Below are 20,012 nucleotides of genomic sequence, written 5' to 3'. Positions count from 1 at the left end.
CTGAGGAAGTAGGTGGTTGGGGTGAAGGGCTGCAGAGGTGGCGTGTAGAAGAATAGCCAGAGTAGTTACATTGGTAGATTGGTTACATTGAGCAAATAAGTTGATTGAAGAAATAAGTAAATATTTTGAGGATAATGGGAGTTAGATTTCTATCTGTCTGAAAAAGGAATTACAATCATGGAACAGCGAAAGCCAAGAAAGAACTCTAAGGTGTTGTGTTGGAATCATTATGAACTCATGGGTTCTAAGTATGCATATGATACATATGTGTGTATGTATCTGTACATGTATGCATGCATATATCTCCTAGCTTTGTTCACTGGGAGGACCTAGAAACAATGGCACCCTGGTCGCAGTGAGTACACTAAGCTCCCAGATCTTGTTTTCCAAATACCATCTTCCACTACAAGAAACCAGAGTATGAATAAATAGGAAATATTATTTAAGTAATATTTTATCAATATAACATATTATGTGGGTAACAATATTTTATTAACATTTTTCATAAATTTAATGCAAGCATAGGGAAACTTTTCCTTTAGGAGGAGAGAGTGAATCATGGCCTGCAGGAAATAAAATGTAGTTTAAGTAGTTTCTCCTGCCCAACCCCAAGATTAACTTTACCCAATTTTGAATCAATTTGATATTCAAATGTTTTAAATTATCTTCAAATCTGTATTATAGCCAGTTCAAGGAGGGATATTTCCCATTCCTTGGTTAATTTGGTAGGCATTCCTGATAATTATTTGGAGTGTTATTCTAAATTGGGTTAATGTGTGTTGTATTCAGCTCTATGTTTGACAAAGAGAAGAAGGTTATCAGGCAAAATCAGCAGCATACCAGAGGTAATAGAATATAGAAAAGTGCTTGGGAACATGTCTGCTAAGTACTTTTAAAATTAGAGTAACGTATCTCTTGAAATCTCTGGTGTTAAATTACATATTTTTGTTAAAATATTTAAGAAAGGTTTTGGTTACATACATATTTCTAGAAAAGCTTCTGCTTGATTGTTTTATTTAATAACCATGATGCTAATAAGGCCAAGTCATCATGATTGAGTAAGTGAACTGAAAGAAACCCTTTGACTTAATTCTAATTCTCCCCAAGCTGGTTTTATGATGTTGGGCATAACCTCTCCGGGTCTCATATTTTCATCAGAAAAGTTAAAGTACTGTAAGTGGTTTATGAAGATGATTTTTAGCTCTACACTGTTGCACAGTCAGTCTGAACTCCTAACCTCACCCAACATCTCTCAGATGTGTAGAGATGAAATTTTTGAAATTGAAAATTTGGTAAAATTATTCATTGTCTGCTCTAGCTATGGACTCTCATTAGTATTTTCTTTTTTTAAAATTTGAGACAGGGTCTCACACTGTCACCCAAGCTGGAGTGCAGTGGCACAGTCTTGGCTCACTGCAACCTCCACCTCCTGGGTTCAAGTGATTCTCATGCCTCAGCCTTCTGAGTAGCTGGGATTACAGGTGTGCACCACCATGCCCAGCTAATTTTTGTATTTTTATTAGAGCTGGGGTCTTGCCGTGTTAGCGAGGCTGGTCTCGAACTCCTGGCCTCAAGTTATCCGCTTGCCTTGGCCTCCCAAATGTGTTGGGATTACAGGCGTGAGCCACCGCGCTTGTCCTATTTTCTTTATGTACCAACTAAATGATTAGTCTAGGACTTCATTATTTTAAGATTTCATGAATAGTTCAAGCTCTATCTTTTCAAAGATTTACTTATAAAATATTATCTTTCAGATTGTGTTATTTTTGTTACTGCTGTGTGGTAGATTTATCTAGCAGATTTCCAGACTCCTGATTTTTTTAAATTTTCTGATAGTTGCTGAATCTCAATATGTGACTCAAAATCAAATCTTATGTGTGATGTTGTTGAATAGGATTGTTTTAATTACTGGTTCTTCACCCATCTGTCCATCTTCATTAATTCTCTGCTACTCAACCCCTATCACCTCCTTACATTTTTGAAAAACCATCTGTCAAATGATACTTTAGTATGAGGCATCTGTCTTCAAATTTTGTTGTTGTTGTTGTTGTTTTTTGAGACAGAGTCTCGTTCTGTTGCCCAGGCCGGAGTGCAGTGGCACTTTCTCAGCTCACTGCAACCTCTGCCTCCCGGGTTCAAGCGATTCTCCTGCCTCAGCCTCCCGAGTAGCTGGGACTACAGGTGCGTGGCACCACACACCTGGCTAATTTTTGTATTTTTACTAAAGACGGGGTTTCACCATGTTGGCCAGGCTGATCTTTAACTCCTGACCTCGTGATCCACCTGCCTCAGGCTCCCAAAATGCTGGGATTACAGGCGTGAGCCATCGCGCCCAGCGTCAAATTTTGCCAAGAATAATATACCAACATAATTTTCCATTAGGTGCTTTTCAACTCCAGTTATGCCTTCTGAAATGTGAGAAAGCTAAGCTAGTATTTAAGAAGGTCACTACCTTTGAACTAGTACAGTGTGAGAAAATTTAAATGTTTTTGCTATAATAGTATTTAAATTCATTTGGCTCCTTTAGATCTTGTTTTTTAAAACACCATTCATGAACACAACATTTTCTCCCTCTCTACAGACAAAATTAACTTTTCCCACATTCATTAAATAAAATGATGACAGAATTGTGAATAAAAGGTATTATTACTGCACTAATATTTAAGATACCCTTCCTTTCATTTATCAGTGGTAGCCTGGGTCCATGGTATTTTCCAGAGCTTGTCTTTTCAGACAAACAGCTGTCTTTTTGCCTTTGGGTGTTTCACAGAAAATATTTTACCTCGTGACGGTCAGCTAGTATATAAGCTGAACATTGTAATTCATGTTTTTAATGAATGATCTAGTTTTAGCCTAGATGATATATATATATATAAAGTAGTAATCTTTCTATTCACTAATTTTTTTAAACATTTATATTTTGGTTCATTTATTCTTCAATTTTATAGTTAGATATATATGTTAGACATGTATACACAGTATACATAGACATGTATACATGTAACTATGTATACATAGTTACATATGTTAGACATCAATGTGTTTTAAATATATATAATGCATTTTATATATATAAATTATATATATAATTTAGATTTATTTTTATTCAGAGGATTAGGAATCTGCTGTTTATTTGACTGTTATTCCCTTTTATATAAATTCCCCCAGTATTAGGTTACTCTTGATCAAATGACGGAAATGGAATGTTGCCTCGAGATCTTTTGTGTCATACTTTTGAAATATTGAAGAATGCCTTAATCTCGTCTTTATGTAAGCAGTTGCAGTAAAACCTTTTTTTCCCCCGTCGGGAGAATTGTGAAAGGTTTCCAAATAGTCCACATTTGCTTGCCCTTCTGGTAAATAAAACTCTCTTATTAAACTTAAAAAAAATTCTATTCACTTATATATCCCAAGGTGAAATATGACCCACTTTTAAAGAATCTACCAAAGTATAAGCAATGGCAATTTTCATTTCTTATTTTGTTTATCTATAATATGTTCCCTCAGCAAAGATTTGCGTATGAGGGCCTGTGGTGAGTGCTGTGGTTGCAGAGATGATAAGACAGTTCTTGCCCTCAAGGAGCTCACAGTAAAGTGAAAATGAATCAAATGTCTTTATTGTAAAAATTTATGCTGTTTAATTTATGCACACATCCACCTATATACTAATCATAACCCATATTAAATTTTGAAATACTAGGATATGAGACATATAAGGAATAATGTATGTTTAGAGTGAGTTAGGAATATCCTGAGACATGGTATCTACTGCAGGATTGGCAATGACTGACTGAAGGAAGTAATTTGGGTGAGAGAGAATAATGACTTAGGAAACAGATATCGCTGAGGAGGGGGTGTGCTCCAGAAGGAAAGGTTTTTATCATTATGATAATGAAATGTTTTTATTCAGATTTCCCTACTCTTTTATTCAAAATCATCTGACTTACTACTGGAGTTTTATCTCTTCCCATTACTCTCTGGTCATGGTGTTTGTTCTGAATAGGTGGTTCTGGCAAGCTGTGACTAGTTGTCTGTATTTTAAATGGCATTAGGAAAATTCGTTTGTTGGTAGTGTGGATATCTTTTTCTCTAGCTCTGAAAAGTCTAAATTTTCCCTTCAATTGGTTAAGTAGAACAGCCTTCTCATGCTCAACCGTCAGAGTATGTAACTCCGGAGTTAATTTGACCCTGTCTCATTCTGTTACCCAGGCTGGAGTGTAATGCTGCAATCATGGCTCTCTGCAGCGTTGACCTCCCAGGCTCAAGCCATCTTCCCACCTTAGCTTCTCGAGTAGCCAAGACTACAGGCATATGCCACCATGCCCAGCTAATTTTGTTTGTTTTTTTGTAGAGACGAGGTCTCACTATATTGCCCAGGCTGGTCTTGAACTCCTGGGGTCAATCAGTCCTCCTGCTTCAGCCTCCCAAAGTGCTAGGATTACAGGCATGAGACACTGCGCCTGGCCTATATTCCCATCTCTAATCCCAAACTATGATCAAAGATGAAGTGTTGATGTTAGTTTATGTCCTTGTTGATAAGAGGATAAAGTATATTTTTTGTTTTATTTTGAATTTTTGTTGAGATATAATTAATATAAGATAAAATTTACTAATTTAAGGTAAACATGTTTACCTTGCCTTGGTTTTTGATATATTCACAGTGTTGTACAACCAATGCCAGCATCTAATTCCAGCACATTTCCATCACCCCAAAAAGAAACTTCATACCTGTTAGTCACTCCTAATCTTCTTCTCCCATCTGCAGTCCTGGCAACAACTAATTTACTTTCTGCATCTATGGATTTGCCTATTCTGGACATTTCATAAAAGTAAAATGTATTTTTTTAAATTTGTTTAGACATTACCAGAAACATCTTTACCAAATTATGCCACAAATTTGAAAGACAAGAGTTCTTTAGTTTCATCTCTCTATAAAGTTATCCAGGAGCCACAAAGTGAGGTAAGTACTTTTATGGTTTATTGTGCTAACAGTATTGACTTGATTGATTTTTAATTTTTTATTGTGAAATAGATATAAAGGGGTAAGAAAATGTATATGTTTAAAGAACAATACTGAAATGAACTCTAGTGTACCATTCCCCAAGCCAAGAAATATAATTTATTACCGTATTCCAGAAGCCATCTCTGAACATTTTCTCTCTTTTTCTCTCTCGCTAGAGGTAGCTTTGAAAAGTCTATGTCACTGCATTTCATTTTATTCATTCAGCAAGTATTTGAGTGCCCATTATGAGCCATCGGCTATGCTAGGCAGTAGAGAATCAAATTGAGTAACACATGGTTTTTATCCTGAAAGAGGAAAGTGGGAGAAAATAAGTAAACACATGGTTTCAAGGCAATCCTTAATCCAGTCTACGGATAAGCACAAGTTTTCCAGGTGGCAAGGTAAAAGAATATTCCATGCAGTGGGGATAGTATACGGAGGCTCAGAAAATGCAAGGCATTTAAAGAATGGCAAATAGTTTAGCCCGGCTAGTGCCTTTCCCAGTCTTTCCTCTTGCCCCACTACCACTCTTTCTTTTTTCAGATGGCTAATTTAGATTTTTTTTTTTTTTTTGAGACAGGGTCTCATTTTGTTGCCCAGGCTGGAGTGCAGTGGTGTGATCATGGCTCACTGCAGCCTTGACCTCCCAGGTTCAAGCGATCCTCCCACCTCAGCACCCCCAATAGCTGGTACTTCAGTCGTGCACCATCACACCTGGCCAATTTTTGTGTTTTTGGTGGAGATGGGATTTCACCATGTTGCCCAGGCTGGTCCCGAACTCCTGGGCTCAAGCAATCCATCCACCTCAGCCTCCCAAAGTGCTGGGATTACAAGCATGAGGCACTGTGCCTCACTAGCTGCCCATTTAGTTTGAAGGTAATAAAATAATCTATATTCCAGATTCTGCTGCTTGTAAATCCTACCATTCATAGTAGAAATAGAAAAAAAATTGGAAATAGGATGAAAAGTAAAAAGGTATGGCATTTGGAAAAAGGTGAATAGGCTAATGCAGTAGTTAACAATAGAGGGTAAGGCTGTGATAGGAGCTGAAGCTAGAAAGCTAGGTTTAGGACATAACCATGGTGGGCCTCAAATTCCATCTTAAGCAGTTTAGACTTTTTTTGCACTGAGGGGTTAGGAAGGTGGCTATGTGGAGGATAGATTGGCAAATGAAAAGATGGGGAATGCAAGAAGACTAGGAAGCTATGACAATAGCCTAGGAGGGAGCTGTTGAGAACCTAAACTTGGGCAGCGTCAGGAGGAGTGGAAAGAGGTATGGTAGAAGAGAGGGATCTGAAGTACATAATTCCTTTTGTACTTGAGTTTGATTGATGGCATGATAGACTCTAACAGCAGATTCAGTGGTAAAGTAACATATCCTGGAGTCCAGTCCAATATGGATCTATGTATCTCTGGGATGAAACTACCAAAATTGAGGGAGGCTCTTCTTTTGAGTAGTTAACCTCTTTTGGAGGGGGTATAGAATATCCCACTCCTACTGGTAATACTATAATGCGTATCATGAATTTTAGGTGCTGAAGGGATTAGGGAGTATATTGACAAGCCAAAAAACTTTAACTGGAATAACTGAATTGAAGAATCATATTTGTCTTGTCTCTTCCTTCTTCCCAAAGCTTCTTAACTTGTATAGAATGCACAGGTAGGCTGTTTTCTTGAAGGATTTTACTTTTTAAATATTGAGTGAAAGCTGTTTTAAGGTTTTCCATGTTTGGTTTAGAATTATATATTTCACCAAATAGGGTAAGTATAGCCATACGCTTTATGTTTTTTAACAAATGTTGTTGATCATTTATTATTTATTATTTTGAGAAGCTTAAAAATTATTCTGTCATGAAGTATGTTTTAACTAGGCTACTTTGGAAAGTGTTTGTAGGATAAATTTATGATTGGCTAGATTAGTTTATAGCATTCCTTTTATTCAGATAACTCTAGTGAATATAGCTCTAATGGTTCAGAGCAGTGTTTCTCAAACTACTAGTGATGATGGACCAGTTTTTTAAAAAAATTATCATCTGTCACAGACAAATATGTGTATCTGAAATACATGACTAACATGAACTCACACCATGTGTGAGGCACCACACAAATTTGATATTCCCTAACTGATGTATACTCTGATAAATCTGCTAATCACTCACTTGGATCTTGTAACAATATTAAGTTGCTATAAAAGTTTATAAATATTTCCTCTCAATTTCTATATTTATATTGTTGGAGATTGATAACAGTTTGTGGATGATCCTCAGGACCACACTTTCCGAAGCATTGGTTCTGGTCTTGCATGTTAGTTTCGTGCTTTTATTCTGGTTCATGTGGTGAAGACTGTGTGTATTCTGTATTCTTAAAAAAACCACTCGCTCTTTCAGATATATTTGGAAGTGCTTCTAAAATATAACAGTGTAATCTACTTTAACATTTTAACCTCCCTTTTGCTGTTTAGAATATTTTGTGTCTAAATTTGAAAATATTCCTAACAAGTTGATATTATTATTTTCCAGAATTTTTGAAATTTGAGATATTGTTTCTGGTATTATTTGAAGTGCAACAAATTTGGCATTTAAACTTCACTAATAGTACTTTTTCATTATTCAGTTTTATTCATTTAATAAATATTTATTAAACGCATTTAATGTGTCAGGAACCACTTAGGAATTATGAGAACAAAATAGACTAAATTCTTGATCTTGTAGATTAAAACTTGTTTTCTAGTTAGTGAGAAGACATTAAACAAATAACTAAACATATAATACTATGTCAGTTAGTGATAAAGCTATAAGGATAAATAAAATGAAGTAAGGGAAATATGTGTTGGGACTGAGGAAGTTGGCGATTGAATCAAGATCCAAACGAATTAGGAGTTGGGGTGGAATCAGGGGCAAGAGCCTTCCAGGAGAGGGAACTGTAGGTGGAAAGGCCCTGCGATATGTGATGTGTTCAAGAAACTTATAAAGAGGCAGTTTATATGGGTACAGTGCAGTTTGCTTAAGCGGCGCTTTTAGTTGACTATAACTTTGAGACAGGCCTATGAGTAGAGGTTGATACTACTTAAGTCTGTTATGAAATCAGCTGTTTTTTGAAAGACCTACATAAAGTCTCCTTGGAGTTCTAGGAGTCGGGAGTCCAGAGAGTGGAGAGGTCCGGTACCAGTAGCTGCTGGTTCCTGAATAGTAGTGTTCTCCAACTTTTCCGTATCTTTTTCTTACCCAATGTTCCTGAGTAATTGTTCAATACAAAAAATTTTGCAAGATTTTCCTTCTAAATTTACCAAAACTTGACTCTTTTCCTGCTTAGTCATTAAAGAACATTTTCCTTACTTAGTCATTAAAGAACATTTTTGAGTCATGTGCCTGTTACCACTAGAAATCTCTCTTAGGATACAGACTTGTTACTTATGAATGAATTGTTGTAAAAATCCATTTGCAGCTTAGTTGTTTCAGAACTCAAAATTTATTTTACAATGGAGAGATGACACATGGTGACTAGGTTCTCATTAAACCCATAAAAGCCCATTTAACACATATAAATATACTTGAGGTACAGTCTCTCTTAATAATACTGTAAAACCTAACCACCATAAATAATATGGTTTCCATGAAAAAAAAAAAACATTAAAAAATGCAACCCAGACACCAGGAACACAGCAGGTTCTAATGCTCCTTTGCTTGCTTCAAATATAGTCAAGTTAGATATGTCAGACACTGTCCGTATTTCCCACACTGTATATCATTTTATTCTTCCTGACATTTTTCAGGTATGTTGGTAAAGAAGTCAAAATACCTGGCTCCAGGTCTGACCCTTGTGAGTCATGTGATTTTGGTCATAGTGGATAGCCTCTTTGTCTTAGTTTCCTTCTGTGGAAAGTGTGGATAATGATATTTTACCCTCCAGTGTTGTGGGAATTTAATGGGTTTATGTATGTGTAAGTACTTTGTAATCTGTGACACACTATGCAGATATTGATATTTATCTGTACTAATTTCAAATGCATAATTTCATCTAATCTTGTTGCAATATATTTCTACCTCCCCTTTGAATCTGTCTTGTTATATTTTCGTATGGCAAAAACTCTAAATTTTGGATTTTAAATGGGTTATAAAGCCTTTTGAGTATGTTTTGATTAAAATTATGTGTTCATACAAACTGTCTTGAATAAAATTTCAAATAAGATTTCATAATTTTGCAATGTTTGTTAGACTATCTCAATTGATTTAGCTTTCTGAGGGATTTAGAGATGAGGGAGGGATGTTATGCCACAATTCAAGATTATTGATGTGGGTCCGCAAAGAAAATTTTGAAAACTCCACCCTGAAAGCTAAATATCCCTAACCAGTCATTCTTTCTTCCAGCCACCTCTATCCCCATTCCAAATTCCTACGCTAAAAACTTTTCTTGCTATCTCTGAATGGCATGACTTTACCTCCTGCCCCTCTGTTTTTCTGTTATCTTTCCATGGCCACAGTGGACATCTGTTGCCCTCTAAAGACCATTTCAAGAGTGGAGAAAGTATTCCTTGTGGAAGATTAACTGTCAGAAGTTAGGTAATTTTTCAATAGGAAAGACTAGTTTGACTTAGTGTTTATTGAAGTATAACTTTTGTTATACCTTTTATAAACAATATTGACTTTAATTATATTCAGTTTACATATTTCACTTACTTGAAATCAAAACATCCACTGTAAATTAGTTTTTGTTCATTACCATTATTGGTTGTAGAAAATCTGTTTAGTATATTTAAATTTGTTGCCTTAGGTGAGGTATAGTTCATTGGATATATATAATAAATAGCCTGATAATTTGCTTGAAAAATCAGTACCTTGTGAACAGTACCTTGTGAATCTCTTAACATATTTGATTATGACTTGTGTGCAATCATTGTATATGCTTTAAGAGAATACTTACCTATAAGAGGGTCTTACCTTGCCTATCTGATTTTTTAAAGCCCATTATAAAGATACAGTCAGCTCTATTAACTGGATAATGTTGAGAGTGTGGTGGGAGAGGAAAAGGTTGTAGATGACTCCAAATTATGTTTAAAATAAAATTACAGCAATATTTAGATTATCCAGGGCCAATTAATCATGGTTACAATAGGGTTCTAGATCCAGGGGAGTCTGTAGTTATTTAGCCCCCCTATGTACCAATCATTCCTGTCAGATGCTGTCAAATTATAAACTCAGGAGGCGGGAGATAGGACAGTAACTACCCAGGATTCCCATTCAATTTCTTCAACCCCATAGTCAATCCTTTATATAGTGGCATGTGTTTTACCAGGAAGAAAGGATATTTTAGGAAGAAACTCCCTACAACTTAGCTATTTTAAGAACTTAAAAAGATATGATTTTTACCAATCTGAGAAAACCTTTTATACTTCATATAGTAGTTCCATTCAAATACAGTCCAGTTCTTGAATTAACATTTTGTCTTTCTTCTAGTTGCTAGAACCTGTCTGTCACCAGCTCTTTGAATTCTATCGCAGTGGAGAGGAGCAGTTGCTTCAATTTACGCTGCAATTTCTCCCAGAACTAATTTGGTGCTACCTTGCAGTCTCAGCCAGCAGAAATGTGCATAGCAGTGGATGCATTGAAGCTCTTCTTCTAGGGGTTTACAATTTGGTTTGTATTTAATGGAGTTAACAAAATCTTTTTTGACAAAATCAAATATATAACCTGTGCAACTGCTTTTCATTTTAATAAAGCTAGTGTTTGTTTTTTCATACACCAAATGACTCATAGCCCATTCTTCCAAATATAACTTTCTGGGGATTGGGAGACATACAAGCGTACATGTAATTATGTAACTTACCTTTATGGATTGATTGAAGGTTGAAAATCAGACCATTTCATTTCTTTTATAGAGATATCTGAAAATATCAGTGTTGCATTTTAAATTTTGTAAACTTAAAGTCCATTGTCTATAAATGATCTGTTTCTGACCTTCACAGAAAGTTTGGGAGAAAAGATTTACTCTAATATTCACCAATCATAGTTGCATAAAATCTAGACTGTCTCCAGAGTGTACAACATTATTTTAACATACGGCTTGCATTACTAATAGAGTTTATATGTTAATTCGTATGGTATTCTAGATACTTAAGTTTTGTACCTTTCAAAATAGAAAAGAAATATAAGGTCATTTTCTTCACATATTTCATATTTAAATGATTACTTCGCTTAGCAAATATAACTTGTTACATGAGTAAGATCAAGGATTATTAAGACACTGTATCTGTATCTCAGCCATCCTGAAAATTTGTTACATATGTTTTTTAAGTGGAAGGATGTACAGTTTAACTACCGGTGTTGATGAATAATAATGGATTATCATGGTTTAAGGTTTTAACTTAAAATTCCTTTCTATTCAGGTCTTTTTCAAAAAAATGTTTTAGACTATTTAAATTTAGTTTGTAAATTTGTGTGTAAGAAAGTATGTATTTTAATATATTTTCTTTCACTTCTATAGGAAATAGTTGACAAACAGGGACATACCAAAGTATTGAGTTTTACGATTCCATCTTTATCCAAACCATCTGTATACCATGAAGTAAGTGACATTTTATCACAGTAAGTTTATTGACCCTAAGCTTTGATATTGCCACAAGTTATAATCTAGTTATTTAGGAAAAAAATTGATCAATTTATTAGTACCTGCAAAAGTATAAACACCCACAAAGTATTTACTATTTCCAAATTGAGATAAGAAATCAAAATAAATGAACATCAAACTAAAATGTGCTAATAAGAGATCTATTGAAAGTATTCTTTTTGAAATATTTTTCCCTCTTCCTGATGGATGGCTACTTGTGTGTGTTGGCCGGCGGGCAGGGGGGTGGTGGGTGGGCAATTGTGTATTTCCATGGTAGAATTTGTGAAATTAAACTAATTTTTATTTCTCATTTGTGGTTTGTTTTAAAATTAGTTATTAAATCTTCGAGCAGAAAATTTGGTAGGCAGCCTAAATATGTTTAAGATATATGATGTTCGTGGTAGCTATTTTAGTGGTATATATATATTCTATATATCACCTTTTCAGCAGAATAGCTTTTTTTTTCTTTATTCAAATGTCTTTTCTCTAGCCTTCCAGCATTGGGTCCATGGCTCTGACTGAGAGTGCACTATCCCAGCATGGTTTGTCAAAAGTGGTATACAGTGGACCTCATCCTCAAAGGGAGATGCTGACAGCACAGAATCGGTATACTGTGGGGATAAAAATTCTTATCTTAATCCACTAATTTTTTAAGAAAATTATTTCAGTAGACTTATAAATAATGTTTAATGAGTTGTGTGTGACAATTTATTTGAATACTGAGTCATTTTATACAAGAGAAAAACAGATCTAGATTTGTCACTGTGCTTTGCTTCAGGTGTCAGCTGGAACACTGAATTTTAAAGACAGGTTTCATATGGCTGTTACTTGGAAAGTCTTTTTTTCCTTGTAGTTTTTCATTATTGGTGTGCTTATACTGTGCAGGTCTGTTCTGTAACATTGTATCTCTCCCCAAGGAGTGCTCTCTCCCCTATTATAGTTGACTTCTTAGAATTCTAAAGATTTGTTAATATTCTTTTTGTTTGTCTTTAGGTTTGAAGTGTTGACATTCCTTTTGTTGTGTTACAATGCTGCCTTAACTTACATGCCCAGTGTTTCTCTTCAGTCACTGTGTCAAATTTGTTCAAGGTAAAGTAAAATTCAAGTGCTTCTAATATTGAAATATATGAATCTATGATTGCTAGTCTGGTACATACCTAAGTTATTTTTGTTTTGTGTAATCATTTGTTTAAAACATTAAATAAGTTAATGTAAAGCTCAGCCTACCCAACACATGGAAAGTTCCCTATAATTGATAGTCACAAAAAACATGATAAAGGGCCGGATGCGATAGCTCATGTCTGTAATTTCAGCACTTTGAGAACCTGAGGTGGGAGTATTGCGTGAACCCAGGAGTTCAAAACCAGCCTGGGCAACATAGCAAGACCCCTGTCTCTATAACAAATTTTAAAAAATCAGCTGGGCATGGTGGTGCACGCCTGTAGTCCCAGCTACCTGGGAGGCTGAGGTGGGAGGATCACTTGAGCCCGGGAGGTTGAGGCTACAGTGAGCTATGATTGCACCACTGCACTCCAGTCTGGGCGATAGAGCAGGACCCTGTCTCAAAAACAAAGAACACAAACAAAAACAACAAAAACAAGAACATCATGAAGAATGTAAAGCTGAATAACGTTTAAATTGACTATTTAATCAGAAAAGGATTATAGTATATAGCTAAATGATAGAGCTGTTATGACCTTTCAAGTTTTGGCATGTGGTTGGCTTCTTTTTGTTTGCATTTATTTATTTATTTTTACTGTGCTCTAATTTGGAACTAAGAAATAAGTAAGAGATACTGGTTCTTAAACTTTTCTTGTTAAAAATAAATTGAGCCAAGGGGTTATAAAATAAATTATATCCTTGAGTATAGTATATTCACATTTTAAAAATCCTGATTTAAAAGAGTAGTTAATGATAGTATGTATGGTATGATTTCCTGATTGGTTGAATATGACCAGAATATTAACAATGATTATCTCTAGTTGGTGGAATTGTGGTTTATTTTAATTTTCTCCTTTGTGATTTTTTTTGTGATTTTCTAAATTTTTGGTAATGTGAATGTTACTTTTTTTAAAAAGGAGAAACAAAACAAACAAAAATGACAGATTATTCCCCTCGATAATTCAAGTAAATAAGAGATATTATAGAACTAAGGAACATGTGGAATAATTTCTATTTGAGGAATTTATTTAGAAAATGCAACTTATCCTGAGTGTATTAGTCCATTTTCATACTGCTATGAAGAAATACCCGAGACTGGGTAATTTATAAAGGAAAAGATGTTTAGTGGACTCACAGTTCCACATGGCTGGGGAGCCTCACAATCATGGTGGAAAGTAAAGGAGGAACAAAGGCACGTCTTACATGGCAGCAGGCAAGAAAGCATATGCAGGAGAACTCCCCTTTATAAAACCATCAGATCTCATGAGACTTATTCACTATTGTGAGAACAGCATGGGAAAACCCAACCCCATGATTCAATTACCCCCTGACTGGGTTCCTCCCACGACATGTGGAGATTATGGGAGCTACAGTTGAAGATGAGATTTGAGTAGGGACACAGCCAAACCATATCACAGAGGACGGGATCATTGAGCAATACTTAGAAATGAAATGAAAACAAAATAAACAAAAAATCAGAACTTGATACTGAATAGGATAGAAAGCCATGCAGAATCAGCAGAGGAAGAGAATTCACAAGACAAAGGGCTTGGTAGAGAAGATAGAGACGTGAAGTCTTTCAGGTGTTTTCCAAATTAGAGCATAATTACATTTCCTAACCTTAAAAGATGGTACCAGTGGTTCATCTCTCCCACTCACCAAGTCGTTCTAAGATGTTTTTTGCTTTAAATTGTTTAAAGGCAGAAATGTCCGGACTTTTGAATTTCACAGATCTGTAAAATCTCAAAAAAGGTGGAACAGCTGGGTTATTTACATAAGTGTTGGCAACTTTTTATTTTGCCAAGTCATTATATTGTAAATGTCTACCATCAACATTATTTAACAAAAGGGAGACTATTTTAATATCAAAAAGGTGGGAGGGTGGAAGGGAAGGAAAATAATTTATAAGTTAAAAATGGGATAAGTTTAGCTTTCCTTGCTTTTCGTTTCACTATGGTCTAGTGAAAACTCTGTTATCGACTAAAATGGGTATAAGGACCAACATTCAGAAATACTGGTTTAAGGAGTAACAATGCAGCAATTTTCACCTCTAGAACTTAGAACACACTGCAAAGTCCAGGTCCTACTTTGAAGCAGTGTATTAGATGGTAGGATCCAGGAATGCCTATATATGTATATATTTGTATTTTTATGTATTATATATAAATGTATTTTTTGAAGCTCCATAGATGTTCTAATACAGTGCCCAACCACTCTTGACGTTTCCCTGAAACTACTGACGGAAAAGTTAGAAAAGAACATGTGTCACTGATTTTTAGCCTATCTAACTCTAACGTAGTACATTCTAATATACTTACTTTTATATTATGAGTAGAAAATTGCTAATATACCAATTTTACCTGACCAGGGAACTGAATAATTCTTCAACAGAGAATGCAAGTAAAAACTGGCTTTAAAAACAAAGAGAAACAGATTATTTTAAAACTAGCTATAGGATTTTGGCCAAGGAAGTTTTGGTAGAAATAGATCAATTTATGCCACAAGAGAAATTAATTTCATGTAAATGTCCACCAGCTGTGAAAAAAAACAAGAGTGGGGGAAAAGATCTAAGTAATTTAAAAGACTTAAGCTATCTAAATAATGCTAACTCTTAACTACAATGTGTTATATTAGAGGAACTCTATCAAATTTATCATTCCTGTCATTTTTAGTTGTTTATGTCTTTAAGTTTTCATTTTAGATTCCCTATTGACTGTATTCTCAATGATAAAATCCAGTTATTTATTTCTCTTACCTACTGGCTTTCTTAATCATTTATCAGATATTCTAATTAGGAGGTTTTGTACATTTCTAAGATGAATAGAAAAGAATTAGAAAACACTTTTGTTAATCATGTTAAGCCTAGTTCATATCTATGGAAAGAAAATTGGTTACAGAACTGTGGTGATAAGTAAGTTAGAAATGGTTATACCAGTTAAAGTACAAGAGCTTCTTAATGATCTTAGCACTAACACAGGTTTTCCTGAAGATGAAAGTGATCCTGCTGTTACATGGGCCATCTAATCCTGTTTGCCATGTGATAGTTGTTTTAGATTGCTGCTCAATTTGGTTGATGACTATACCAAAATGATTGACTGGGTCATCTAGGAGAAAGGATACATAAATACAACCAGAAAAAATTCATGGGATAGATGAACTAGATTCAGTGACAAATGTGTTACAGTCTTTTTTTAATCTTCTGATTTTAATTAGTTATGAAAATAATTAAAACAATCTTGAACACTTCCCACCCTCCACCTATGCTCACACAAATTCATTCTACTGAGCAAAAATCTGTTCAGTTACTATAAGCTTTGCCTTCCTGATTCAGACTGATTGATGGCCAGCTTGATAGCCTGTTTTCTTCCTACATAGTATGTGTGAACAACTTGAAGAAGAGATCTGACAGCAAGCAAGAGCTAAACTGAATAAGCTATAGTCAGGAAGCTTTTGTTCTCTGCTAGTACTAAATGTATATGGCACTATGAAAAGAAATATACTCACCAATGCTACAAATAAGTTTTGCTAGTATATGCCAGAGTCCTCTAAGTTTGAGGAAATGATTTCTTTCTGTTGGACATTTAATACAAGACTGTTTAACAAATGGCTTATCTTCTTTTTTGATGTGGAATATAAATATTAAGAATGAAACTATGCTCAGCTATTAAGTTGAATTCTCTCCCATTGTCTAAGGGACAGCTCTGATTTTGTTTAGCTAGTGAGTCATCTAACTGACGAACCTGGATATGGATAGCTGTGAGTTCCTGATCAGTGTATTTGTTTCTGTGTACCTGTAATGAATCCCTGCCTCTCCTCACTTCTAGGTCAATTTTTCTGACCACCTGAACAGATTGTTTTCTGTCAATTAAGGGCAGCTTTGTTACGAGTAAGCCATTTTGCTCCTGACTAATAAAATTTATATAAATATAAAGCACTTAATGCAGCATCAGCCACTTTGCTATCATCTAGTAAATGACAGCTGGCATATTATTGTACCCCATCAGTGAGCACACACATTCACTATGGATGCACATAAGTCATTGCTTTCATTTTTTTTCTCACCTGTTTGCTATGACTGTATCAACAATTCTAGAGCATATCTGATATAAGGTCATTTCTGGTTGAAAGAACCTATGGCAAATTTTTCAATTGCTTGTTATTTTATTTGGAAACTTCTTTTTACCGGTATGTAAATCTTGCCCATCCTTCACAACCCAACTGAAATAATCTTTCCTCCAACTACGTGAGCATGATTTTTGTGTGTGATCTTCACTTGAGAAACATGACAGAAGATGCAGACTTTATTAAGCTCTTAAAGAGCAGAACAAGCAGGACAGAAAAGTGCTCATTACTATTCAGGCAATTCTTCCACTTTCTCTTTTCTCCTTTCCCCTTTTTCTATTCTCCTGGTCTTTTCCTCTCCACTTCTCTCTGCCCCTCTTTTTTTTTTTTTTTTTTTTGTGAGATGGGGTCTTGCTCTGTTGCCCAGGCTGGAGTGCAGTGGCACAATCTCTGCTCACTGTAACCTCCGCCTCCCAGGCTCAAGCAATTCTTGTGCCTCAGCGTCCTGAGTAGCTGTGACTACAGGCAAATGCCACCATGCCCAGCTAATTGCTTGTATTTTTAGTAGAGACAGGGTTTCGCCATGTTGCCCAGGCGGGTCTCAAACTCCTGAGCTCAGGCACTCTGGGGGCCTCAGCCTCCCAAAGTGTTTACAGATGTGAGCCACCACACCCGGCCTGTTTCCCCTTTTCAGCCAAGTTTCTACTCACTAGCCTGATGATCTGGAGATCCGATAATAATAATCTGATAATAATATTATATGTAATATTATAATTATATATTTATATATAAATATATTATCTGAATACATTTATATTATCTGATAATTAACCTTTCTTTTCTACTTTTGGTTCTGGTCTATCATGAATAAATAAACTCACTGGAATGGGTCTTCCTAATCATTTTATGGTTTGTAACTGAGGCTATATTAACAATCCCAAAAGTTTATTTTTATTCTAAGAATAACACACATGTCTCTCACCAGAGAATGAGAATCACAACAAGAGTTTTTCTCACTTACACATTGATGCTAAGAACTTCTCCAAGAAATATATTGACCAAATACACCTTCCGGAAAGGATTTTATTTTCACATGCCTTGTGAATTTGGCAGAGTAAATTTAATACAGACATAGCTGTTATGGCACTCAGCTGCTCTTTTGTAAGGACATACCCTTATGTTTGGATTTGTGAAGGGAAATCAGAGAACTTCAGGACATAGCCGTGATGAACAGAGGAGCCAGGCATTCATGTGGCATATAGCTTTATTGCTTTGTTTTTTTGGCATTTAAATTCAGTGAAGGGTATATGGGCAAACAATATCCTTGAAGATAGGAATCAGAAAAAACCTAATTCAGAGAATTCTTAAGTACCAAAATAAAGGAGTAGAGAAAAGAGATGCCATTACCAGTTAATGATGCAGAGGGATAGGACTAGATTATTTTGGGTCTCAGCTCAAATGATACCTCCTTGGAGAGGCTTTCCGTGACCATCATTCCTAAAGTAGCACTTTCCCACCCTAGTTTATTTCCTTGTAGCACTCATAACACTGTAATTACCTTGTTTGTTCTTTTGATATAGACTGTCAACTGCTAGAAACTTCAAGAGGTCAGGAACTTTTTGTTCACTGCTATATCACAAGAGCTTAGAAGTGCCTGGCATATGATAGAACCTCAATAACTGTTGAATGAGTGAATGATAGATGAGCTCTTCAACTCAGATTTATGATTTGATAAGTAGAGTTAGGATTAAAGGAAATAATTGGATTTTTACTTTTAAAAAATCTTTCATTGGTAAATAAAATCATCAGTTTTAGTTTTCCTAGTTATAAAACATTAACAATTTGCATTTCTGAATAAACGTTTAATTTCAGCCTCTGATAGATGATCACTTATTTCCTTACAAGTAGCTAGTATAGAAAATGAGAGAACCTGGAATTTTATTTCCTTTGTAAATCTTTCATGTGTGTTGGTATTTGAGAGAATTGTCTCTGTAATTCTTACATAAAGTAAGTTTAAAAGATGAGTGACCATCCTAGAGCCATGCAAATTTTTTTTTAGTTGTATAATAACAACAGTAACTTACCTATGTTCTGTTTCCTGAACCCTATACTATTTCCTTCCTGATTCCTAAACCTGTATATTCAATCCAGGAACCATCTCTGTCAACATGTCCCATAGATACCGTGTAAGTTTTAGGACTCTTCCTATGGCAACCAACTGATATCTACATCAAACTAAATTATACCGAAGGGGCCAGATGCGGTGGCTCACACCTGTAATCCTAGAACTTTGGGAGGCCGATGTGGGTAGATCACTTGAGGTCAGGAGTTTGAGACCAGCCTGGCCAACATGGCAAAACCCCACCTCTACTAAAAATACAAAAATTGCCAGATGTAGTGGTGGGGTGCCTGTAATCCCTTCTACATGGGAGGCTGAGGCAGGAGAATTGCTTGAACCCGGGATGTGGAGGTTGCAATGAGCTGAGATCATCGTGCCACTGCCCTCCAGCCTGGGCGACAGAGTGAGATTCCATCTCAAAAAAAAAAAAACCAAAAAAAAACACCCAAATTTTTGTACCTAGGAAGAGCAGTCATGGAACTGGCCTCAGGATGGCCAGACGTTGGCTCATGCCTGTAATCCCAGCACTTTGAGAGGCCACGGCGGGTGGATCACTTGAGGTCAAGAGCTTGAGACCAACCTGGCCAACATGGTGAAACCCTGTCTCTAATAGGAATACACACACACACACACACACAAAATAAACAGGTGCGGTGTGGGAGGCTGGGGCATGAGAGTCACTTGAGCCCCAGAGGTGGAGGGTGCAGTGAGCAGAGATTGCACCACTGCACTCCAGCCTGGGCAACAGAGTGATACTCCATCTTAAAAAACAAACAAACAAAAAAAGAACTGGCCTCAGGGTCAGCTGGATCCAGAGACTCAGATATTTTTAGGATATTCCCTCCCATCTCATCATCTTCATTTGTTGGCACTGTACTTTGTTTTTGCAGATAGGCTTCTTCCATGTGGTAAGAACAGTGACCTCAGGCAGCTAAAGGCTTACATTGTCCACTTTTTTTTTTGTTTTTTTTGAGATGGAGTCTCGCTCTGTCTCCCAGGCAGGAGTGCAGTGGCGTGATCCCAGCTCATTGCAACCTCCGCCTCCTGGGTTCAAGCGATTCTCCT

At 35.9% G+C, this 20,012-nt stretch overlaps 1 protein-coding gene across 5 annotated transcripts in view; it reads left to right on the top strand.

The window, feature by feature from the left end:
• The window catches only part of HYCC1 (hyccin PI4KA lipid kinase complex subunit 1), a 118,288-nt gene that overhangs the window by 25,227 nt on the left and 73,049 nt on the right, over positions 1-20,012 (top strand). For all 5 annotated transcript variants that reach the window (XM_011515590.3, NM_032581.4, NM_001363467.2 and 2 more), the window contains exons 3-7: positions 4,859-4,960; positions 10,456-10,635; positions 11,483-11,563; positions 12,096-12,211; positions 12,599-12,694. In XM_011515590.3, the coding sequence (XP_011513892.1) occupies positions 4,859-4,960; positions 10,456-10,635; positions 11,483-11,563; positions 12,096-12,211; positions 12,599-12,694 (575 nt within the window). The remainder of the gene's footprint in view (positions 1-4,858; positions 4,961-10,455; positions 10,636-11,482; positions 11,564-12,095; positions 12,212-12,598; positions 12,695-20,012) is intronic.

Source organism: Homo sapiens, chromosome 7 (genome assembly GCF_000001405.40).
Source record: "Homo sapiens chromosome 7, GRCh38.p14 Primary Assembly".
Taxonomy (NCBI): Eukaryota; Metazoa; Chordata; class Mammalia; order Primates; family Hominidae; genus Homo; species Homo sapiens.
This window is presented reverse-complemented; position numbering and strand designations above follow the sequence as displayed.